Here is a 26,999-nt window from a genome sequence, read left to right on the forward strand (position 1 = left end):
TCAATTGGTCTCTATACTTATATTTAAAGTTTGTCTCTTATAAACAGCACACAGTTAATATGTTTTTATACTTAGTCTAAAAATCCTTGAGTTCAATATTTATGAACATATTTAATGTAGTTACTGAAAAACTGGCTTTAAATCAATACTCTTTTGATTGTCTTTTAGTTGTTCCACTTATTATTTCTTCTTTTGCCTTTCTTTGGATTAATCAGTTTTTAAATTTTATTCATCTTGTTAACAGCTTTGCAGTAATAAATTCCTATGTTATTATTTTAGAGATTATCCTACATATCATGATATCATCTCTGACTTTCTAGTCTTCCTGACTTTAGTACTTTCACCAGTTTCCCACCAAAGCAATAATTTTATCACAGTTTATCCATTTAGGTAATCTAGGAAAATCTCCCTATTTTAATGTCAACTGATTAGCAACCTTAATTCCATCAGGATCCTTAATTATCCTTTGCTACATAATGTAATATATGCAGTTTCTAGGGATCAGGATGTGGAAAATTTTGGAGGACCATCTATCTGTCACCTAAGAGGAAATAACTCAGAAGAGGCTGTTGAAACCAAAAAGCAATGAGATAAATTAATTGGCAAATTTAATTTCTTCTCCTTATCCGTAATTACACAGTGGGGTAGAGCATATAATGAAAATTAGATCACTTTTAGAAAATGAAGAAGCCATGTTTCCTTTGCGCATCTGTGGTATACAGTGAACAATTTTTTTTACTGCCCTACATGCAGATTGTGAGATACAATCTGACAACTTTCTTGTTAATCATTAATTTAATAACTACTGCTTAATATAATTCTGGACTTAGTCTATGGCTTGAGCTTGAGTAGAGCATGTCTTTCTTTTTCTTTTTTCTTTCTTTCTTTCTTTCTTTTTTTTTTTTTTTTTTTGACAGAGTTTTACTCTGCTGCCCAGGCTGGAGTATAATGGTGTGATCTTGGCTCACTGCAACCTCTGTCTACTCGGGTTTAAGAGATTCTCGTGCCTCAGCCTCCCTAGTAGCTGGGATTACAGGCGTGTACCGCCATGCCTGGCTAATTTTTGTATTTTTAGTAGAGACAGGGTTTCACCATGTTGGTCAGGCTGGTCTCGAACTCCTGACCTCATGTGATCCACCAGCCTTAGCCTCCCAAAGTGCTGGGAATACAGGTGTGAGCCACCGTGCCTGGCTACAGATAATATTTCTTTCTAATTCATCTGGATATTAAAAATAATTTTTATTTGCATGAAAATCATTACTCTGAGACAATGAGATAGTCCTAGATACTTGGTGGCAACTTCTCAGATGAAAGGTTTTCATTTTTCTTTCTAAATTTCTCTGCTGTTTCTTGTATGTAGGAAAAGAAATCATAGTAATTATAGACCATCAGATTCAAGTTAAAAGTTGCTGAAACCTGTGGCTGTTTTTTTCTAATAAAATATTTCTCATTAGCTGGTTAATCTGCTTGAAGATTTTCTTTTCCTTTGGGTATTTAGATGTCATGATTTATTATGTTATCTTTATGAAGTAATTGTATCTTTAGTAAATAATCCCATTAAAAGAGTTTGGGAACTTTGCAAGAGAAGAAGCCAGTTTTAAAAATTGAGGTGCCATGTTTTCCCACAGGGATACACTGTTCACCTTTTGGAGGTCAATATAAACAAGATCAACCATAACTGTGCACTGAGAAGTGTTTTTTGGTATCAGAATGTAGACTAATTGAACCATCAATGACACCTTTAAAATTCTTATGCCTTTCACATCCTATAAAGATGATCATTATTAAATAGTTCAAGGGTTGTGTATTTGAAATCCAAAGCATAAACACTGAATTTTTAATCTATAAGTTTGTGGGCAAAAAGCAGTCAGATATTTAGGGCCATTCTGATGATGAGCTGCATCTTGTTCTGTCATCTGAATGCTTGTCATTTTGTAGATGGGGGATAAACAGTGGTCTCTTCATGTTAATGAATATTTTCCATACTTATTAAAACTAAGTTTTTTTTAATAAGAATAAGTCAATGAGCAGACAGACAAGTTGCTTTTTATTATTTTTGTGTCTCTTTTCAAGTTCACTCTTCTTATAGAATGCATTGTATTATTCATAAAGTTAATGCGATTGGCTGCTATTTCACATTCTTACAGCCAATTTGTGCAGACTTCACTCTTTTGGTGAGATCATCATGATTGTATGTCTCAGGTTGAGCTTTTGATCTTTGTAAAGAAGTTTGCTTTCCTTCATCCTGGGAACATAGATGACGTTTATATTCTCCATACAGTTATGTTATAAATGCATGTCTTTGATCTTATGGGAGGAGGTCATAAATTCCTTATCTATAGTAAAACTCAACCAATTAAAAATATCCTGACAGCAGCCGATCAGAATCGTATTTTAATTAAGGATAGCAGCATGATAGGGTGGAAATACACTAACTAGTTACTAATTTTCTTTGGATGTCCTATATAAAAGGATGGTTTAAATTTCTAAGGTCTACTTTTTGATTAACTTACCTAGTAAAGTGGTTCCAAATAAAATTTTATTGCAAAATTATTTCAAATTTGAGTAGTATATTAAAATTTCATCATTGCAATTTGTGTTTGGGATCTGAGAGGGCTAGTAAAAACTGGATAGTAGAATACCATAAGAAATGCAATATTTTTTTCGAGTATGTCTAGCAACTCAATGGCAGAGTGTTTCTAAGTAGGAAGCCTAGCTTGTCTGGTTTAATGAATTGTAGTATTTAAGAAAGGCCTCCCATATTTTTAGTGTTTGTTTACAAATACTATTTTGTGAAATGAGTCAGATATGAATCATCCACTAATCTTGTTTATGAAATTAATATATTCAGTAAAATTCTTTGAATAACAGTAGTTTCCAAACACATTCTATGTGTTAGTGGGATCTAAATCTATGTGATATTATGACAGTTTGAACTCTGTTTTGATTTTTACTTAGCAAAATGGTGAACTCACAGTTAAGTATGACCTCTTTGATTTTCCTAAGCTTTTTTTGTTGTTGTTCAGTGTCAGTTCAAAGAATTGGGATGAGTGGGTAGAAAAGTCACACATTCTTATGAAATAAAAAGGACAGCCACAGTTTTATACATATGTGTATTTACATATATGACATATATGTATATGTGTATGTACATATGTATATATATATGTGTGTGTGAAAGTGAGGGGGAGAGAGGAATGAGGTCTACATAATTTAATTTTATTACTAGTACATTTTTATGGTTAATTCAAATATTTAGGCAAATTTGCCTTTAATAGGAAAATCATCAAAAAGGCAAGGCAAGTAGTTGCATAAGCTTTGCTTTTTTCTGAAATTACCTGCATTCACTTAGAGAAAAAAGGATTTTACATTATCTATCAAGCAACTAATTTACATATATGATTTCAGGTATTTCAATTTCAATGTGTGTAGCAGTTCAGGAATAAAAATGCAGTATTTTCTTATATTATTTGTGTTTTTTATGATTGAGCCGTACGATCTTTTGGTTTAGTTAGGAATTTGGCTTCCCCATCCCTCCTATTAAAACTTGATTTTTGGAAAGTATAGATAGAAGAGCTGTGCTTTTCTTTTAAAATGCTTATAAAATTCAAAAGCAACTGGAATACATTTTATGATACCAATTTTACATATATTTAAAAACCAGGACTACAAAATATAAATTTATAAAAAATTATAAAAAATGATTGGGATTCTTTCTCTTTGGAATGATTATATGTTATAAACATACAGCACCGTGAGTATAAATAGGTTACTGTTTCTCCTAATGTGCCTACTTTAATGATGAATTGCATTCCTGATTACAGAATCATGAGCTATCAAAATACACCAATAAATACAGGCAAACATTGGTAAAATTCCGACTTAGAAAATAATCAAAGCTTAAAGCTTAGCATTCTGATTTGGAGCAAGAAATATGTAAATTGTGAAATAATGAGCAGCTTCTGAGCACATCCCCTTTATTTTACCTGCAAGGACCTGAGTCAGAAGTCTGCATTTCAAAATGCTTCTTTTTTTTTACAGTGTGGATGAATGGCCACGAATAATACAAATTGGCTTTACTTTCCAAGTTTATTATACTTAAACATTTGTTGGCAGGTTAGCGACATCATTTATTATATAATGAGGTAAACCCCAAATGGAACCCCCAAACATCTTCTCTTCCTGGTCATCATAGGCTGCCATTCTTCCCCTAGAAATTAATACATCTGTATGCGGGATCGTGCCTTCTCATCCCCTGCTGCAGAATCCTCGGTCATAACAGCTTTTGTGTTCATGAATATGTAAATGTAACATGCATAAAATAAAATAAAAAAGCAGACAGTTTCTACCACAGACTGCCTAACTCTGTTGAACTAATACACAAAAAGCGAAGATTTAATTTTTCAAGCATTTTGAGTCAGTGTTTCAAGGCATGACATAATTATGTAATATAAAAATACATAAATTAGGCATATGCAGATGTGCATGACAGTTAGACTCAAAATAAATCGGCATGTAGTCATGGCTATAGTGATTCATGCAGATTCACTTACTCCTTCACTCTGATGCCTAGTAATACGGGGTAAATGCCTTAGGTATTTAATGACCTTGTATTTACTGACTAGATTCTACTCCTATACTTCACCCCAATAAATGACTAGGAAAATGTTTAATTAATATGTATTATTTGTATATGTATGTATATATATGTATTATACACACACATATGCTTTTTTCTTTTGAAGGGGAAAAGCGATGGCTATCTTCCACTGAAGTATTCTGGAGGAAGCTGTGGGAAGAAAATTGGTGGATTTTATTATTGAAATAAGCAGGCATGTTCATGCATATTTTTACGGCATGCATGGCTATGCGCCACTCTGTGCAAACAGTGCTATTGCAGCTTGTGCGCGGTAATTAGGTTGATGTAATTATGGTGAAATAAAGGCAGTCGCACTGATAATTTCACAGTGAATATTAAAGACATATGTGCCTTCCAGTGTACAATGAATGAACCTGAACTGCTGTCAGGGTCTAGGAGGACAGTGTGGCCAATGCACCTATTGTGTCCCTGCTGCAGAAAGGAGCCTGCCGATTGGCCACTGTCTGCAGCACATAGCACTGGCTGGTTATAAAGGACTTGTCTAGGGGAGAGCCTGTAGGTACTCCATTGTCTGGTAAAGTTCATATGACTGCATTCTTTTTGCAAGGGGGGTGGAGGGAGAGCGGGGAAGGAGGGGGTGTCAGCTCAACTGTAAAAGCTGCACAGATTTTTTTTCTTTCTCTCTCTCTGCCTCTCCATAGATTGTTTCTGTTTCATGCCCTGTCTCATTTCGCATAGCTAAAAAAGAATGCTAATTAAGATCCCTTGTCTTAACCTGAAAAATAATGACTCGGCTGTAATTAGAAATCTGGTGAGAGTTTAAAAATTCTGGTAGGGGACCAAAAACATCAGTTACGGTGCTTAGGAAGAAAATGAAGAATTATTTTTCTGAAATCAAGGTAAACATGGGAGAGGGGGGTTCCCCCCATCTTTTTAACCAATTTTAACCAATGGTGTTCTACTGCAGATGAGAAGATACTGTATTTCAAAAACTATTTTAACCATCAAATTGAAGGAACACAAATCAGTAGCAATAGAAGCCTTCTTAATCCTCCTTAGGATGCAATTCAGATGAAAGAACTGCTTTTTCTATTTTTCTTTTTGTGTGTGTGTGTTATAGATGGATCTGAGAACGCTGTCTGGGCTTGGTACCAAGAGCTGGTATTTCACAGCAGCGACCGCCTCACAGACGAGCTGTGGGAAGCAGGAGGGAGACTCTCTCTTAGGGTGCCACTACTATGGAGACACAGCTGGGCTGAACAAGATTTGCTTCAAACGACAACAAGAGAGACAGAAAGTATCTGGTTCAACCGCTGCCCGAGCAGGCAGGCACCAGAAGAGCTAGCAGCCAATCCGGCCATGCTCGAAGCCAGCTCTGCAGCTCAGCCAATCAGTGACATCATTGGTGAGAAACTCATTTACATCATGCAGTAATGAACTTTGTTTAACATAGACTTCCCCCTTTCCTGTCACCCCCCCCCCTTTCCATATTAGGTCCTTCCATTAATTATTCTGCTGGCATAATTTAAACCGCTATGCAAAAATGTGGCTACATTCTCTCTGATGGCTTTTACCTCCCCCCCCCCCCCCCCCATTGGTGTCTGCCGTCACTGAAAGTGATTCTGGGTACAATTCTATTTTGTTTTGAACTTGCAAAAATTATCTTCTCTTTCTTAAAAAAAATTCTTAACAACATTAAACCTCTGTTTATATTGTCTGATCCCTCTTCTTATGAATGAATACATGCTTCTCCAAGTTGGGGTTCAGAATTGTACAAGGCAACAGAGAATAAGGTGTGCATTGCCATGGAAGTTGCAGGTTTTTCAAACAATCTGTATCTTAGAACTTCCTTTAACGTTTCCAGATTTTATGCTGCAGTGGCCATTTTACATACAGTGCTTTATCCAAAAAGCACTTGTATGCATCTGTCACATGGAGGAAAGTTCACTCTTGTTATATTTCATTCTCCACTGCTCTCAGCCAACATTGTCATTTTATTAATGAATAGAACTGAGGTCATTTCTGGACAAATCTCCCCCTTCCCATCCCAGCACAATGCACCTGATTTGCATCCATTTACTAGAAAAAATGAATACAAGAACCAGCTTGAAAAGAAGTTAAGGGACCAGCTTACGTATTATTTCAGAATATATTGCAGTAATACAGTTTGTTTTTTTAAAATGTGTAATATTTAACATTTGCCTTAGTGTTTCTATAAAAATGCCTGCTATCCATTTGCAATGTAATACCTTTAGCAAATTTATAGGATTGTTACATAACCAAAGTAGATCAAATTAAATAACGTTCACAAATGAGTTCATTTATCTGCAGAAAACCTGTGGAAATACAATTTTGCCTTGCACATTTGTATTTAGTTGTCAGGGATAAAGTCATTTTTTCTATAGATAACTTAAAGAGGCTGGAACATGTGGCATGTGAAGATTTCAGGTTGCTTTATAAAATCCCAGAGAGCAAAACTGGGTCACACTTCAATGCAATTTCTATTAAGTCATATCTTTATTGCATATTTGCGTTAAAGGCGCACAGTTTTCTAGCAGAGAAGGTGAAGTTTCATTGTCTTTCTTTTAAAAGGATGTTTTGAATATAATTATTCAAAAACATGGAATTTTAAAAATATTGACAAGGGTTTCATAATAGTGCATGATTCATTTAAGAAGCTTAGAGAATGCAATGATAGGCATAGTCACTTTTTAAAGCATATGAAGGATTTAGATGGGAAACCATGGCCCTTTTAATTCATGAGGTATTCCATCATCCCATCATCAGTATTCAGGGGGCGACTGTCCTGAATCAGTCACGAGCTCCCCTGCTGCAGATCCTGTAATTTGAATCATGTGTAATAATATATTATCCTACTGGGGGCCTTCTTTCAGTAGGAGAATGGTTTATACATTCTGCTGTAAGAGAACTTTTGGCTTCTAGCCGACTCACAGCTATTACTCACATAGGCAATCACGATCGTCTTCCTTAAGGAATAACATCTGCACAACCTCCAGAGCCAAAAATCTGCAACCTCCCGCACAGTATGAATTATGATTTCTTGGAATTGGGAACACTTGACAAACTGAAGTAGAAAAATGGAAGGTTTAAAGGAATGGATCAACATTTTATTGAGTGTGCCATGTGGCGACAGCGCAAACTCCCATTCCTTTGAAATGATGGAGAATGGTGAGGAAAGGGGGCCAAAAATATACCTACATGTGTTCATTTGATTTTTAGACACAGCCGAAATGTAATGTGTTTTATGAAGACGTGGCTGCCTCTGTGTTTTTCTGTGGACATCCTAGCAAGGTCCTGTAAAGGGCGTAGCAACGTGGAGAAATAAATGGGGGGCGAAGGTGGTCGTGAAAGCAGAGAAATTGTCTCCCCTCGAGAAGGAAGCAATGTAATGTAGCAGGAACCATTTTGACCCCGGAGTTAAAAATTATAGTGTACCTCCGACTCTTTCTCTTGTTATCACCTTGATCAGATCACTTAATTTCTTTCCATTTTCTCCTGCATTCAAAAATTCAAGACAATGCCAGCATAGAGATTTTCTCTTTGTGTGAAATGCCTTCCCATTTTTTAAGAGTCTAGATCCTTTTTTGCTTCAAGGACCAAGTTAAATGTCTCCTCTTCTGTGAAATCTCTCCAAATCATCACGACCAGAATCTCTCACTTCTCCACCCCTTTTCATCTCCTTTATTGCCTGTGTGCCAGTCAGTATTGCTGTAGGGCCACATGTGTGTACGTCTTTGCCACTAGACTGAAAGCCCCTTGGGGACAGAGACCACATTGAATTCTTCCACCCCCAGCTCTAAGAATAATGAATGATGCTCCTAAGGTTCAAATCCATGTTTTAATTAATGAATTATAAGTACATTATAAATTGCAGAGGGAGGGTCATACAAATTCTGGGGATTACAATTATTGTTGTCAACTATTACCACTATGTACCAGTTGATGTCAGCTTTACCTCATCAATGTTAAGCCTTTTATTTCACTGGCCCTTCATAATAAATCTCAGATTAAATGGTCCTTGTATTATTTTTCTTAAATAGCCAGTCATAAGGAAATGCAAATCATTTTGTTTATTAAATATAAAATTGAGCCAACTTAGTTGGTGTTTAAAAACTTAAAAATAGGTGAAATTTATGTAGATTCAAGCAACCATGATAAGCAAATTACAGTATCCAGCTCTACTGTTCATGATATGAAAAATTACTTGGAAAAGGTAAGCAGTTAACATGGAATGTTGAAATGCTTTACAAAGCATAATAAATCAGGAAATATAGAATCCCATGTCAGCGTTATAATTAATGTATGTATTTTTAATCTGTAAACTAGTACAATAATCTTGAGTGATTTCTAGATGTTTTTGATATAATCTGATAACATAATGCCAAAGCATGATTGATTTTATGTTAGTTATCTATTTAAGTTTATACTTTTGGTTATTATACTACTGCTAAGAGGAAATTAATGTTTTGGCAAAAATGATATTTTTGTTAATGTTTGAAAATCGTCTTTAGATTTAAAAATATATTTTAAACTGTTTTTCACTACCTTTTATGAGAAGAGAATGAAATAATTAGAAAATATATATATCTTTACTTTTATATCTGGAAAAATAGAAATTTCAGAGCTTGAAATCAGCTTAAGTCTTTATTTTGTAAAAGTATTAGAGAGGAAAAGTATCTCGCCCAAAATACGTACTTTCAAGTTCCCGGGACAGCTAAGACTGGTGTCAAGAATTCGGAAAGACTGGGTCAATATTTTTTTACCCTACCAAATAATCTTCATGTTAAAAACCAGCAAGATAGGATTATACAATTTTATAGTACTAACATAAATTACATTTACTTATGTAATCCAATACTGTATGTAGAATTCACATATCATAGGGAAAAATGGGAGACTGGACCTTATTGAGCTGTATTTTTCCACTATCCTACAATAATGCAATTGGGTCCTAATAAATAATCATTTATATTAGTATTCTTTAAAAATAATTATGGTTATGATGAAGTAAAAATGGAAATGATATCTGGGTTCACTTTGCTAGCTCTGAATTCAGTTAACACAGATATTATATCTTAATGACAAGATTGGTTAAATAGATTTGGGTGGGTCAGTTTGAACTTTTTTTAACCAATGAATTATACTGTTATTCTTAATCTTTTTTATTCTGCTTAAGTCTCCAGTTATCCCAAAGATGAGATATTTGCATCTAGCCAATTATTTAAAAATATAATTCTGGACCTTGTAAATACTGAGAGATGAATTGTGCCCACTTAGAAACGAATGTTTCTCAAAGACAATAAAAATAGTAGGACTGTCCAGCATCTTCTGTTTAGAAAATTACAGTTAAGAGTTCAGAGAGTGACTGAGAAAATGTAAAGCATCTTAAAGAAAATGTTACTTTACTTCCTAATTTAAGACGTGGTAACTGACAGCCGTGTGCATTTGAATACTATTTTGTTTTTCTAAATTTATTAAAGTAATGATAAACAAGATAGAAATAATGTAACACCCCCCCATACTGGTACTTATTGATACCATAATTGTACGGTCCTTATTCCAAAATTAATTATTGAATTAGGAAAGTGGAGTAAATATTAGGGCATAGGCTTACACAGCAAAACTAGTAAGTTTGTGATTGAGAATTGCTTATTTGTAAGATGGCAAAGAAATAGATAAAACTGACCTAAAACATTTGCATATTCTGGCTTTTTTTCCTGCTTAACCCTTACGACATGATTTAAAAGCAGTATCAATATATTTCGGTGTTTACCGAGTATTTCCACGAACTGAAGATAACACATCTTGTTATTGATCAGTGAGGTTGCTCTGTAACTGGTTGCTGAACCAAGAGGAGGAACAAAAGGCTTTGAGTTAATGGCTAATATTTGCTGGGGCCTAATATTTCCACTATATGCCATATGCTACACTATGTGCTATGCACACATTCTTTCATTTAATTCTCAAATCAATCCTTTGGTATAATTACTATCCTTATTTTACAAAACTGAGAAAATTGAGTTTCAAAAAGGCTAAGCCACTCCTCAAAGTCACATGACTAACAAGCAGCAAAAGAGGGATTTGAACGAAGGATTCTGACTTGAGAGAATGCATTCCTAATCATTCCAAACTGAATAATCAGTACATGTGATTTTGCTGTTTGCTGTAGAAACAGATTTTTTATATATATTACATTCATTAATGGTGTATCTGGTTCAGTTTTTTAAATGTTCACATATATTTTTACCTTAGCATTTTATAGGTCAGTTTGAAAGCTATTGAGTTCGCAATAATATCTACATTAATATTTTCTTCATATTTTGGTATTTCTGCACCCAATCAGATCATTTAGGTAATACATACCAAAACAATTTCTAAACAGTGACATACCAGACAAATGTAAGGTCATGTTAGTAGTAAAATGTCTTTGTAAGTCTGAATTACTAAAAATAAGTATTAGACTAAATGTTTCCATTTCCTCTTTTTCCTAGATATTTTACTTATTAAATATAACACCTATTTTATGACAAAATTAATTCTCATTAATTTGGCAGTTGCAGAATGTCACTTTGGCTTATTTAGACCCTGACTATCCAGACATGTAAGGTAGTTCAGGTTCTCACTCCTGTTTACACATCTTGTGTCTACAACCCACTGCAATCCACAGGATGTTAAAAGAATCTTACAATTACTGAATATGTAGTAATATATTTTATGCCTAATGCTAGATTTTTTAGTTTTTATCTACAGTGGTCAAGACTAGAGGGCATAGCTGACAAGTTGTTGACTTTCAGGGAATCAGCTTAATTTGGGGAAGGGAAAGGAGAAAACAGAATTGTGTAGTTTCTTAGCTTCCTGATGAAATGTTGTCCAGTTTCTTTCTCAATTTTCTATTTCTTTCTAGAACAATGTTGTACACTTACCATATGTCAGAAACTGTGCAGGCAATAAAATGATCCTCTCATGAACTCCAACTTCAACATTGTTATTGATTTTCATAATGAAAACACTATATCAATATATGTTCATGTATAATTGAGGTGTTTAGTTTGGTTACATAATTTATGGTACCCTCTTTTAAAAAAATCTAGAAAAGCAGAAGTTTTGACCCCTATGATTCTCATTTGAATGAAACTCCACTCCACTGTGCTCTCCACTGTGCCTTTGCCTCTTCTATGATCCTGATACCTAGAACTCAATACACTGCTCCTTGGAAGGTTTGAGGAATGCAGGGTGAAGGAGGACTATCATCTCTGTGTTTGGGGGCCACTAGGCCCATGGATGTGGTGCAAAGACCTCAATAGCAGGTTTAAGGATCATATTCTGATTTTGCCCATGCCTTACGCTATTCTCGGTACAGTTAGAATTTGATATTATTTTTTCTCGCAAGATTCCTTGATGTTCGCATTACTAATAATTACCTTTGTGGGAAAGAATCAAGGTCAACATAGCAGTTCCTTTCATTGCTTCTGAACTTACTGAGAAAGCACTTAAAGTATAGGACTTAAGCACTAGTAAAGTACTTAAAACATTTATTTTCAGAATGTTAATTTTTACACAGTGAAAACTAGAGATAATAGTGTCAATGACTACTTAGTGATCACTTAACTCCATGAGGTACTGTGAGAAGTGGTTAGGAGCATAAAATCTCTGTACAGATGCCTGGTTCTGATTCTGAACTTCATGACTTAGTAGATACATAACCTTGGACAAGTTACATAACTTCCCCGGGCCCCAGTTTTCTCATCTGTGCAATAGTACATACCTTAAAAGACTGTGAGGATTCTAGTGCATTTTTGCAAAGGATGGCATTATAAAGATGTGCAAATTCATGTTCTTTACTCTTCGAAGTATGGAATGTAGAGAGTATGTGTTTGTATATATTTAAATAAATATTAATGCAGTGTAGTTAAGTGCTATACCAGAGATGTATTTATGCTTCATAAATACTTTTAAAGTTTAATTTTACTTCACCTCTTTAACCAAGTTTTGTTTTTATTTGAACAAGTTGTCAACCATTGTTATAATCATCAGTTTTATCCCATCAAATATTGGTTTCATTTAAAAAGTTGTTTAAAAAGACTCTATGTTATTTTAATAATATCTATATAAGTTTACAATTTCAGGCAACTAATAATATTCAATCCATTGATTCTACTTTTTCCTCCATTGCTCAGTGTATATATCAGAAAATACAAATGTCCGAAGTCACATGTAAAAATACATGAAACCATTTATTCTGATTTTTGCAAAGCTCGATGGTAGAGCTAATATTTTAGACCATGATACCCTAGAATGACCAGAGGTTAGGTTCCTAGTTAGTGGCATTCTGTAAAGACAATTAATCCATAGTCCAAGTGTCTAATGTTCAAGAATCAGATACTTGATCACGTAGACTGTCCTTTAACAATCTCCATTGTACTCAGGAAGAAAATAATAGATTCTAATCCGAAGACCTGACCTAAAACCCTTTGTAAGTGCTCCAAGCCTCACTTTTCTTATTATGAAATGGGGATAGTAATGCCTAACTGGAAAGATAATTGTGTGGGCTAAATAAGAGGACCTGTGGAGTACTGTTAGGTTTTCTCTTCTGTAAGTTTTGCAAAGTCTGTTCAAGTGTGTGTTTCAATGTCAATGAGAGCAACAGGACTTCAAATAAAATGCAAGCTTCTGAGGAGGCAAACTCTAGTATGATGTATTCTATAGAATAGAGAATGACAAGATTCTTTAAAAATATTTCTCATTAAAACCCCCATTAGTTCAAATGATTTCAGGGGATTGTGAATGCAAGTTAATTAAATCAGAATTCTTTCTCATCTTATCCTGGGAATGACTGAAACTAAAAATGGTTTCATTTTAAAAAGAGGTTCATGAGCTCGCTCCCTCTCTCCACCTCCATCTCTATCTCTGTCTTTCCCTGCCTCTGAGAGAAACTGACGTATTTGGGTAGAGAAGAGCATCAGTAAGTGTTTCCAGTGATTGAGGCAGAGGGATGTTCAAAGGCATGAGTATTTTTAGATTAATAGTAACGATGCAACTAATTTTCAGGTGTCTCATTAAGGTGAAAAATAATATACTATAAATAGCATCATATTTGGACACCTATGTGCCAATTTTATGATGCTTTTACAATTTCATCTAATCTATTACAATTTGTTATTACTCCCTTCAAGTTTTATCCATGCTTTCATGGTACTAATAATGAAGATGACGATCAACTGAACTTTGCCATGATATTTTGTAGGTGTACCTGTTGTTTGAACTATGTATATAAATCATAAAGCAAAGAAATTACACATTCTGTTTGGGATATCTTATAGTAATATTGCCTTTTAATAATCCCCGTTTCTCCTTTTATTTAACAGCAATTACCCAACATCCTATTAAACATCAACAGAGATCGTCTTGCATGTCATTATAGTGCAATAAGATCTGTTTAGCTTTTCAGCTCTTACAAGATATTCATTTTGCAGTGGAGTTAAGCTTTTCTATTACCTTCCTAGGATGATGGTTTAGGAGTCTTTAAAAATTTTTATTAAACTCATTTTAGTTATTTTTTCCCTTTGTTAGTTAATTGATTTTTCTAGGACTGAGAAAGTGGGTTTTTAACATATCTCTTCTCTAGGGATAGGCTTCAGTATGGGGGCTGTTGGAGAGACCATATACCCCATTTCTCCGGGGATATGTCTAGTTTATGCCTATTGTACCAGGGTAATTATTGATGGTGCCCTCTTTCATTTTCAGTAGTGACCCATTTTTCATTAGAAATTATGTGGCCATTCTATAATATAAAGTTAATTTCTGAATGTTTTGGTAAAGATTATATTTTTGGATATGCAAATCTGTTGTCATCATGAAAGTATTTGTACTTTGCAGATTGTGTAACATGAGTTTAGGTTTTGCAAATGTGGTCACTACAGTAATAGATAATTTTGTTGATATGTGTTAGACATGCAATGAGTAATTGTTGATCTAAACTCACTCATTTGAGCATCAGATTTCATTAGTACTCTAGTCTAGACTAACAGCAGGAAGAAGTCCAGCATGTCAATTCATTTAACAAATATTGGTTGAGCACTATGTGCCAATCATTGCTATAAGCACTGAGGGACACAGCAGTAAAGCAAATAGACAAAGTCCGCTGTGCTCATAAAGCTTGTGTTCTGAGGTCCTTTATAGGGTAATAATATATATTTATTAAGTTATACCAATGACATTTTGCTCTCTTATACAAATTGCTTTGACAAAAGGAAGGTTTCATTTAAAATCCAGCCTGTTTTTATTCAGACTGCTCCATGATGTAGGCTAACTTTATACCATGAATTCCTACTGGGTACGTTTTTCTTTCTCTCACTCAGTAGCTTACCTGACATCTTAGGCCCTCCTGGAGTTGATGGTGCCAGCTGCCCATGATTTTTATGTTTTATTTAGTCAAGAAGCAGCTCAGAAATCCTAATAACTTGAGATCTTCTTATGTTCTAGCTAACACACAAAGGTACATGGAAAATGTACTACCTTATTTGTTTTTGGAAACTTTTCTTTTCTCCCTGAGAACAGGTTATTGTCATTTTTGCCTATATATATAAAATTCATGTTTTTAAATGTATCCTCGAGCTTTTCAAGTGATTTCTCTCCTGTGGAAGCACCTTCTCTTGTTATTTGGCTTTTTATAAAGCCCACGAATATTTTAAAATTTTAAATGACTTATGTGCATAAAAAAATAAGCAATTTATATATTAAGAATACATATTTAAGCAATTTATCTGTTAAGAGTACATATTTAAAATGAGAACAATTATATCATAAAACCAGAACTGTTTGGAGTTTGACATAGACTTGAGACAATTGTTTAATTCCTTTATTTTTTAAATGTGCCCAGAAAATGTGTAAAGAAATGGTATTCAACTTGCTCAGATTTACAGAGTAGTTTGTGATAGACTCAGAAAAAAAAGATTTTTTAAAATTTGAATTTTTAAAGTTTTGATTATAAAAATATTTTCTCTGCTCTAAATTTGAAAAATTTTAGAGTTATATGAAAGAAAATTGAAATATTTAGTTATTTTACTCTGTATAAATTACCATAGTTGCACAAATTCTAAAAATACATATGTCTTTTGAATAATATTGAAGTTTCACTATATAAATATTTATATCTTGTTTTTAAACATGAAGAGAGAAAATATTATGTGGTATGATATAAGGGATGCACATTTAGATGAAAAATAAAGGAAGAAAGAATTGATAAGACAGGCATTTAAAAACCTAGGTATTTTTGAATTACAACTTCACAAATTATATGAGGCTATATAGGATATATATAGAAGTGAATATGAATATGTCAATGTCATTTCATAAAAATGTTTTGTGGTACACTGAAGAGAGACATGTCAAAGTGACAATGCTGTCATAGATGTGGATGCCCTTTCTTGCTCCTGGGAAGTAGTATCTCTTCCCTCCACATATACTCTGGGTTATACCCTCTCTTAAATCCTCATGGAATTTTTCCATCGATGATCCTTCTCCTGTATCATCACCTTCCTCTCAACCAGTTCTTCCCTCCCAGAACTCAAAAATGACCAACTTTCACTCATCCTAAGTAAACAGATGAGGAAAACAATAATAGCCACCCCCCATAAACCTATTTCCTCTTGTATCTCTTACTTATCCATTCTGTTGCTGGACACGAAGTCAGGAGAGCTGAGAAAAGACTCTAACTCACTCGGGACAAGTAGTGTAACTTCTTTGCACTCCAGCAGAATTGATAGTTTTATATTTCATAAAATATAAAACGGTGTTAAAAAGCTATAGTTTTTTTTTTTCCAAAAGTACTTTGTCCACCTTGAACACCACATAAATGTAAAGGAGAAGAGAGGAAATATCCTCTACAAGCTACTTTTTAATTGTTATTTTTAGGGAGCTCTAAAGTAACTCTAAAGGTGTTTTTGACATAATATAATTACCATTTACAGCCATGATCTCATTTCCATTTATTTATTTTGAGATTCTGTTCCCACTCAGGGTTCTAATGGTGCAGGGGTGGTAGTAGGGTCAAGTTATTTTAAATAACGATCAAGGAAACAATCTATTTTTAAAGGAAATAAGCTCTTTGTGCTATTGAACAAAGATCGCTGCACTTGAAGTCTATTTGTTACTCCAAAATTATTTCAATGAGAGTAGGAATCAGATGATCTCATATCTATTGCTAGCTATGCCACTAGTCATTTGTGTGACATTGGAAAACTGGTGTTTATTGGTTTATCAGGATGGACAGGAGACCAGATCAGGACTTTCAACAACTTTTCTTAAAGTAGAATTCTTTCTTAAATAAAATCGACTCGGAATCTCAAAATATTTTTAGAAAGTGCAATGACCCTGTTTGGATTAGGGTTGGGAACCTCAGAGCTGTATTCTTTTACTCCTCATGCACTTTAGGTGGTGCCTAAGATGCCCTCATTACAGCCTCGTAACTCCATGAGAATAAAGCCACTAGAGTAGATAATTGTTGACATTGCTTAGAGTTTGAAAATTAGACTGTTTTTTTTTTGTTGTTGTTTTGTTTTGGTTTTGCTTCTTTTGGTCAGCCATTAATTAATATAAATTAAACTTCCACTAGATGGCAGTAGATCAAATCTTTGATCTTGACAATCTTCAGTCTAATATTTAAAAGCACATATTTGGACTTCTTACACAAATTTTAGAAGAATTTTATTGTCTTATATTTTAAACTTTAAAATTCTTTTTCAACCTCTGAATTTTCACTTGGTATTCTGTTTTCAAGACATTACGAACTATTGGTTAGTCCAGTCTTTATGATGTCTGGTAAAAAATATTACTTGCTCTGATTATAGAAATTTTTAAAAATTGCATAATGTTCAAGTGAACACATTTTCATGAGCATCTAAATTTATTATTCATACAGTCTTGATTTTACAGCTTCACTGGAAGGCTAATTTTTAACCCAAAATTTACAGTGACCTGGTCATTCATTTTGCTATCCCATAACGCCCACTCCCTTCCACAGCAATGCAATTCCAATGATAGTCTGCATTGTGTATACTCTTAACTTTGCAGAGAGGGGATGCTTTCAAATTATATTAGATGATGGGAATTTGTGATAAGGATAACTAGCGAAATGAGGTATCTCAGGAAGCTGCTTCATATCCCTAAGGTTAAAGGTATAGTAATTTCTTGGAGGTACAGAGCAACACCTTCCTTTGGGATTCAGCAGGTCCTCCTGGAACCCAACAGCTCTGGTACCCTCATGCCAACAATGAGCCTCCCAGAAGTTGCCTCTGCTCCTCTTTTTGGATACCACTTATTTATACTCCCCAGGAAAGAAGAACTGGTTGAGTCAGTTTGTTGTAGTTGTACACAGATCATCCCTTAAGTGCAGTCTCTTGCTAAGTAAGTCCCCTGAGTTGGTTAGACCCGACTGAGGACAGCTTATTCTTTAACTAGTGTATTAGTCTGTCTCATGCTGCTAAAAAGACATCCCTGAGACTGGGTAATTTATCAAGGAAAGAGGTTTAATAGACTCATAGTTCCACATGGCTGGGGAGGCCTCACAATCGTGGCAGAAGATGAAGGAAGCGCAAAGGGACGTCCTACATGGTGGCAGGCAAGGGAGCATGTGCAAGGGAACTCCTCTCTATAAAACCATCAGATCCCGTGAGACTTATTCGCTATCATGAGAATGGCACAGGAAAGACTCGCCCCCATGATACAATTACCTCCCATCGGGTCCCTCCCACAACACTCGGGAATTATGGAAGCCACAATTCAAGGTGAGATTTGGATGGGGACGCAGACAAACCATATCAAATAGCCAACATAAAAGGTCAAAGTTTATGCCTGTTTTCCAGGTGAAACTAGTGATAGCTCTAGCTCCCCATTTTACTCTCAAAGTGATCCCAATTCAAAAGCTCAATGATATGATCACCTGAACACACAGTTATCTTTACCTTGAGAACTAAGTCTGATCTTCAAGCCAGAGTCGTAGACACAAGACTTGTCTAATGAAAATAATTGTCTGTGGCAACTTTCTTAGGAAGGAGCTGTGGGACACAGGTATTTAGAGTTGTATGAACTGCCAATTATGTAGTCCTTAGAAGAAAAGAAAAGAGAAATTAAAGATGAAAGCTAACTTTAAACTCAAATTCCTACCTCACTGGTTCAATTTTATCCACTAGATACCATCTTTTTCTAATGCATTGTGGAAAAGAGTATTATTTTCATTGTTAAGGATAGTATAAAACTAGAAAAGAAATTAAGTGGCTTGCCTGTATCACATTGTAAATATCAGAGAGAATTCCAAAATTAGAACTTTAGAGATGGTTAGTCACAATCTATTAGGCATAAGTAGTAGACTGAGTCTTTTAATTATCACTCTGTATAATAATTCACATGCCACCAAATGTATTGGAAATAGTTATCTTTCCATCAAAACTATTACCCCCAATTTTTTAAGTAATCATATTTTTAGATTTTAAATACATTTTCTCCCACATTAGTCCTCTATCACTTTAATGAGTATAGTTAATATGGTGAATCGTAGATTCTAAAGCCCTTTCTCTTTTTTTTTGCCCTCAGAACAGATTTATAATGAAAAAAAAACTTAAGTGACTGAAATGTTCAACCTGAGGAAGAGAAGCCAGACTCACTGGTCCCATTCCTCAGAATGTAGTTTCTTTCAGAGAGGGCTGTGATGAAATTTTGGCCTATCTCAATGTACAACACCAGAAAGAGAGATGATATTATAATTTGAGACATTTTGTTTAGAACGATTTCATGCATTCTTCTAATCAGAATGGGCTATTGAAAACATTTGTGCTAAGCCTGTCCTCTGGAAATCATTTATTTCATTTGTGGTATTTCAAACATCATCGTGCTGAGTTGGAGGGCAGTGGCCATTATAGTCATACAAATAATACTGTATCACTTTGTTTAAAGTATAGAAAGACCCGCTTGTTGGTTGAAAACCTCCTATGTCTTTCTGAAAGATTAGCTTCTGTTCACCAAATTCCATGTTATTTTCCTTCTCCTGAATACAAAGAAAGAGTAGATTTCTTAGCCGCTAAACGGTTAGGTGGCAGCATGTGACTAATTCTGGCTCATGAAATTTGATCAGAAGGCATCAGAGTCACTTCACCGACTCTGGCCTGTGTCCTGAGATGGCCAAGCTCCAGCATGGAAACAGCCTGGATTTCTAAGACTCTGCTTGGAAAGGAGCCGCACCAAAGTGAAGGATGAAGTGAAATACACTGAGTACTAAGTGAAGATGAAAGATTTTTATGACATAAGTTACTGAAATTTCAAGATTCATTTGTTACCATTGTATAGCCTGGATTTTCCTGACTACCATAGGAAATATATGAAGTTTAGCTTTATAATTTAATTTTATTTTTCTGACTTAGCTTAGTCTTTGCCGTAGCTGAGATTCTTTCAAGCAAGTAGTGAGTGAGATGGATCATTACTTAAGTGTTCATTACTTAAATGTTCATTCCAATATTACACCGAATTGGATGATATCTTGTATCATATGTTTATGTGGCCAGACTGATCAGTGACAGTTTGGAAGACATGTATCTGGTGCAGCTAAATTTTGTGAGCCAGAATTAGTCACATTTCATGAGCCAGAATTAGTCACATGGTGCCACCTAACTGTTTAGGGGCTAAGAAATCTACTCTTTCCTTGTACGCCGGAGAAAGAAAATAACGTGAGATTTGGTGAACAGTACAAAAGACATGAATTGAGATTATCATCCAAATCATTTTTAACCTGCCTAAAATATGAGAAATCATTTAGAACATATAGAATCTGTAGGCAAATGTAAGCTGTAAATCCGTATAGTAAGAGAAGGAAAAAGGCAGTAATATTTTGTAGTTTGTGATTTTAAAAAATCAACGTATAATCTTAGAGTTCTCAGATTTTATTTGTAAAGTAATAGTGTTGTGGAACTAGCAAATAATCATTAAGTTTCTGTGATACATTAACTCTTTCAGCATAAGAACATGTGAATATTTGCCTTGTAGATACGGCGATGAGAGGTTCTGGTTTATTTGGGGGCAGTCTCAGTTTATATCTTTTGTTTCATTACAATTCTTAATAGTGTCGCTTTTCATTCAAATATTACACTGAATTAGATGATATCTTGTATCATGTGTCTATGAGGCTAGACTGATCAGTGACAGTTTGGAAAACACGTATCTGGTGCAGCTAAATTTCTTTTTTTTTCCTCAGTTCTGTGGAACATAATACGGCATGAAAATATCATTATATGAGGATGTTACCACATCCCCATGTAATGGGATCAGCCCACAAAATATTTTTGAATCCATAACTTAGTGAAAGCATTGTGATGAGTACATCTAAAATAAACATTTCTAGGTTTCTGTGGATGGACTCAGGAACCTAATCATCAGGTATATAAAACATTAAATCAAATGAAAAGTGCAGTCTAGTTTTCAATAACTAACTTGCCAAAGAGCTTTAGGACGTAACTGTTTGTCATTTCAGCATAAGCAGTGGTTTTTAAATGCAGCTTTCAGTTGTATTAATTGTGTAGGTATTTTATTTTTTATTATGGAGAATTTTGAAAAATACCAAAATTACATAATAGTATATCAAACTACCTTGCAGCTATTAACCAGTCCAAATAGACATCAACCAATTGTGAGTTCTGTCCTATCCATACCCCCATCTAAATTTCCCCCTATATTATTTTGAAGTAAATCCAGACATCATATCATCTTATTTTTACATATTTTAGCATTTGTCCCCAACAAGATGTACACTTTGGTAAACATAGTTTTATGTGGTTTCTGTATAATAGCATAGATTGAACAAATATTTGTCAAAACAAATTTGGGTTGAAGTTTAACATGTCAGCATTTACCCACATTAAATAGTCATTATCTCTTGGACTAACAGTTTCCCAATATCACCTTAATCAGAACAAATTACCTTTAAATATTCCAAAAGTAAACTCTAAATTTCCCTTTAGACAATTTAGAGGGGTATGTATACGCTCCAATCCAGAGATCAAGGAGCTCTGAAATGGATTCTGCAGCTGTCTCCCTTTGAAATTCTTTGCTCTGACACTCCAGATAACAGTACGACTTAGCTTTCCTGGGAAGCAAATAGGCTGCTCTTCAAAGGGTGAATACCTTAGACTGACAGGTTAACTTCAAGAATGTAATTCTAATAAATGGAATTTATGGGGCAAATGTTAAAAACACTAAAAAATACCTTTTATTGGCCTGTTTATTGAGACTAGGAAGGAACATCATGTTACAAACAAATTCTGTTTTCTTTGTGCTAAAACATTCCTATGTCATCTTTTAATAAACTTAACTGGATTTATAGGAAAGGAAAAGTATTCCCTTTGTTTTATACTTCAGAAAATAATTAAAACACATTTCTGATTTGTATGAAAAGAGAAAGCCAGACAAAATTTTTAAAATTTATCAAATGTAAAATTGAAAGGAAAAGAGGAAATCTTGGTACAGGTTATATTTGTAGCAAAATTAGAGAAATTTGGAAGGTTGCAACATATTGTTTATGTATTGTACCAGTTTCCTGGAACTTACTATCTATATACATAATATGTTTTTTATTTGTATGTAAATGATGTAAAATGATTAAGATGGTAGAGCTAATACGGTTTCTTGAAGAAGGAGGACATTAGGGTTAGAGCTTATATTAATTGAATCACAGGTCTTTTTTTGGCTCCTTATATCAGTGGATATAGATGGCATTAACTTAATTTAGGCATTTGATTTAGATTACAGTGCAGGAGTAAGAAGCATATTTAAGGGAATAGCTCTGTTTTCACCACTTAGCAGCCATATAACCAAGGTTAAACCTTGCTTCTCTAATTATGTAATGATAGTAATTTAACCTATAAAGGGACTGCAAGGATTAAATAGAACTGTCTTGGTAAATATTTTTAAAATGAGCTCTATTTTCATGTTTATGCATAATAAAAATACTCACATTTTAAGTGTACAATTTGTGTCCTTGGCAAATACATATAGTCATGTAGCCAACATCATAATCATGATGGAAAACATTTCCATCACCTTGGAAAATTCCCTTGAGTCCCTTTGTGGTCAATCGGCTCCACCTACCCTCAGCTTCTGCAACTACTGATTTGCATTCTGTCATTACAATTTTGCATTTTCTGGAATTTCATGTAAATGGAATAACACAGTATACAGACTTTTGTGTCTGGCTTTTTCTACTTAGCATAATGCTTTGGAGATTTATTCAGATCCTTGAGGGTATCAGTAGCTCATCTGATTTATTGCTGAGCAGTCTCCTGTATTGACTGCATATATGACAAGTGGATGGACACTGAGATTGTTTCCAGTTAGGGAATGTTATGAATAATGTTCTGTGAACATTAAAGTATAAGGCTTTTGTGGATAAAGCTCTGATTTATCATAGCTAATTGTGTAGAAATGGGATTACTGGGTTGCGTGTTAAGTTCCTGCTTAACTTTTTAAGTAACTTACAAGGTATTTTTTTTTTTAATTGGCTAAACCATTTGCAGTTCCCTCAACCACATACCACTTGCTCCACAACCTCACCAACCATTGGTATTGGTCATTAAAAAAAATTATCCCTTCTAAAATGTGTATGTAATGGTATCTCATTGTAGCTTTAACTTGAATTTGTTTGGTTTTCAAATCAGGTAATTTGGACTGATAAAGTAAGTTGAGAAGTATTTTATTTTCTATTTTTCAGAAGCATGTGTGCAAAATTGATATTATTTTTCCTTAAATGTTTAGTAGAATTCACCAGTGTCATCTAGGCTAATACTTTGTAGACTAATACTTTCAGCCTGTTTCCTTGTGCTTATTGTCCATTCGAGTATCTTCTTCAGGATGCTCATTTTTACTGCATCTTTTTTCTTTCTGTTGGGTTTTAAGAATTCTTTAAATATATATGACGTAAATCTTTTGTCATATATATGTCTGCAGATGTTGTTCCTAGTCTGTGGCATGACTTTTTATTACCTTAACAGTGTTTTTTGATAAATGAAAACCTTTAATATTAATGATGTCCAATTTAACAATTGATATTTCATAATTTGCACTTTTTGTGTCCTGGCCAAAGATTGTTTGCCTAAGCCAACATCACCAAGACCTTCTCTTATATTTCCTTTTACATGTTGTATAATCTATTATGTTTAATTCTATGAACGATTTCAGGTTAATTTATGTATATGATTTGAAGTCAGGGTCGATGTTCATTTTATTTGTGCATAAATACTCATTAGAGTATTCTTTGTTGAAACGACTATGCGTCCTTTGTTGCATAACCTAGGCACGTTTTTCAAAAAATAAATTGATGAGAGGCCAAGGCAGGAAGATCATTTGAGGTCAGGAGCTCAAGACCAGCCTGGCCAACATGGTGAAACCCCGTCTCTACTAAAAATACAAAAATTAGCCAGGCCTGGTGGCACACGCCTGTAATCCCAGCTACTTAGAAGGCTGAGGCACAAGAATCACTTGAAGCAACCCAGGAGGGAAAGGCTGCAGCGAGCCAAGATGGCACCTCTGCACTCCAGCCTGGGTGACAGAGTGAGACTCTGTCTTAAAAAATAAAAAATCAAATCAAAATAAATAAATAAATGGATAATATCTGTGGACTACCTATTCTGTTGTATTGATCTTATGTCAATTGTTAAACCACATTGCTTCGATAATTCTAGCTTTATAATACATCTTAGAATCAAGTGGTGTAAATTTTCCAACATCGTTCTTTTAAAAAATTAAGGCTATTTTGGATCTATGCCTTGCCATTTGATTTTATAATCACCTTGTTAATTTCTGCATAAATGCTTGCTGAACTTTTCATTGGGATTTCATAAAGCTATAGATATATATGGAGAAAATTAAAACCTTTTCTAGTGTTGTATCTTGTAATTCGTGAACATGATATCCCTCTCACTTTTTAAAATTTTTTTAGCTCTCCTTAATTCCACCAAGCCATATTTTGGAGATTTTAATATACAGGCCTAGCATGAAGTTTAGTAAGTATACTATCCCTATATGCTTCACGTTTGTTCATTCTATTTTAAAAGACATTTTAATTTAAATATTTAGTTGAGCCTTACTAGTATATAGAAACATAACTGATTTTTGTGTTTTCATCTTGGATTCCATGGCTTTACTACGCTCAGTTCCAGTAACACTTTTTATGGGTGTCTTTGCGTTTTCAACATAAATGATCATCTCATCTGTAAATAATGTCAGTTTCATTTTTTCCTTTCCAACATGTATTACATTTTATTTATTTATCATACTTTTAATCATATTATTTTTGCCCTATTGCACTAATTGGGACTCCCAATATAATTTTGAAAAAACACTGGTAAGAACAAATATCTTCACATTGCCCCTGATCTTAGAGGAAATCATTCAGTCTTTCACAAAAATGATGTTAGCCAATTTTGCTGGATGTTTTTATCAGGTTGAGGAAGTTGCTTTCCATTCATAGTTTGGAGGTAAATTTTATTATGACTGAATTGTGAATTTATCAAATGCTCTATTCTTTATCTGTTGAGATGAGCATATGCTTTTTCTTTTTTATGTAATAATATGCTGGATTATACTGATTACTGGATATTAAATCAACCTCCATAGGGCTGAGATAATGTACTATTGTTTTGTCTTTTTTTGCATTTTTGGATATTGTTTACTAAAATTTTGTTTGGGATTTTTGCAACTATGTTTAGGTGACTTATAGGTCTGTTTCATGTAAATATGTATACATGTATTTATTCATTTATTCAAATATTGCCTTTGTTTGGTTTTCAAATCAGGTAATTTGGACTGATAAAGTAAGTTGAGAAGTATTTTATTTTCTATTTTTTGGAAGCATGCATGCAAAATTGATATTATTTTTCCTTAAATGTTTAGTAGAATTCACCAGTGTCATCTAGGCATGGAGCTTTTTTTGTAAGAAGAATATCAATTATGAATTCAATTTGTTTAGTAGTTTTAAGGCTATCTATCTAGTTCTCTGTGACTTGTTGAGGAATCTTTTGTCAGTTTATGTATTTCAAGGAGTTAGGCCACTACATCCAAGATGTTGATAAGCCTATAGTTTGCTCATAATATTACCTTTTAATCATTTTAATGTCTGTAAAATCTGTATTTATGTCCATTTTCTTCATTATTGATGTTGGGTATTTATGTGTTTTATTTCCTGATTAGTCCAATTAATGCTTTAGCATTTTTTCCCTCTGTTCAAGGAACCAGATTTTAGTTTCATTGATGTACTTTATTTTTTTCTCTTTTTCTTGATTTTTTTCACTCAACTTTATTGTCTTCCTTCTAATTACGTTGGGTTTAATTTGTTTTTCTATTTTTGTTTCTTACAGAGAAATCTTAGCTCACTGGTTTTTAGATCTTTATTCATGCTGTATAGTTCCCTTGAAACACTTATTCAGCTGCATCCTACAAATTTCATATAGTATGTTTTCATTTAGCTTACATTTTATCTCATTTATTCTTACTTATGGTTTATTTACAGATGTGTTATTTAATTTTTGGACCTGATGATTTCCCAAATATTATTGATTTTTAAATTAAATCTCATTTATTTATTTATTTATTTTTTTGAGACGGAGTCTCCCTCTGTCCCCCTGGCTGGTGTGCAGTGGTGCGATCTCGGCTCACTGCAAGCTCCGCCTCCTGGGTTCACGCCATTCTCCTGCCTCAGCCTCCGGAGTAGCTGGGACTACAGGCGCCCACCACCACGCCTGGCTAATTTTTTATATTTTTAATACAGACGGGGTTTCACCGTGTTAGCCAGGATGGCCTCGATCTTCTGACCTCGTGATCCGCCCGCCTCGGCCTCCCAAAGTGCTGGGATTACAGGCGTGAGCCATCGTAAATTGATTCTTTAGTGACCACAGAACTTCATATGATTTCAATTTTCTTAAATTTATTGAGACTGGTCAATCTTTTGTTCAGGCACTTTATACCCTTGCTAATTTTCTGCCTTCTCTTTCTATCAACTACTGAAAGTGTTCATATCTTCAATTATAATATTGGATATGTGTAGTTCTTTTTCAATCTTTATCAGTTTTAAACCTCTGGTATTAGTGTATCCACATTTAGGTTTTTTATGTATACTGATGAATTGATCCCTTCAAAATTACGAATATCATTCTCTGTAAAAAATATTTAATTGACCAAGATTGTAAATAAAGTGTACAGCACAATTATCATATATGTATACCTTATATAATGATTACCACAATGAAATTAGTTAACACATCTATTACCATCCAAGCCGTATATTAGATTTGCTGGAATTGTTCATCTTATAAAGTTTGTATTTTTATAACATTTCTTGTTATAA

The 26,999-nt window shown here is 34.1% G+C and overlaps 1 long non-coding RNA gene across 5 annotated transcripts in view; it reads left to right on the top strand.

The window, feature by feature from the left end:
- The first annotated feature begins 5,094 nt into the window (after positions 1–5,094).
- The window catches only part of MIR99AHG (mir-99a-let-7c cluster host gene), a 561,240-nt gene continuing 539,335 nt past the window's right edge, over positions 5,095–26,999 (top strand). For 2 of the 5 annotated variants that reach the window (NR_136541.1, NR_136542.1), the window contains exons 1-2: positions 5,095–5,174; positions 5,721–6,005. This is a non-coding gene — a long non-coding RNA (mir-99a-let-7c cluster host gene). Of the gene's footprint in view, positions 5,175–5,720; positions 6,006–26,999 lie in introns of those variants that run through there. The other 3 variants (NR_111005.2, NR_111004.2, NR_027790.3) reach the window with 2 other exon arrangements.

The sequence above is a fragment of the Homo sapiens genome, chromosome 21 (assembly GCF_000001405.40).
Source record: "Homo sapiens chromosome 21, GRCh38.p14 Primary Assembly".
NCBI classification, from domain to species: Eukaryota; Metazoa; Chordata; class Mammalia; order Primates; family Hominidae; genus Homo; species Homo sapiens.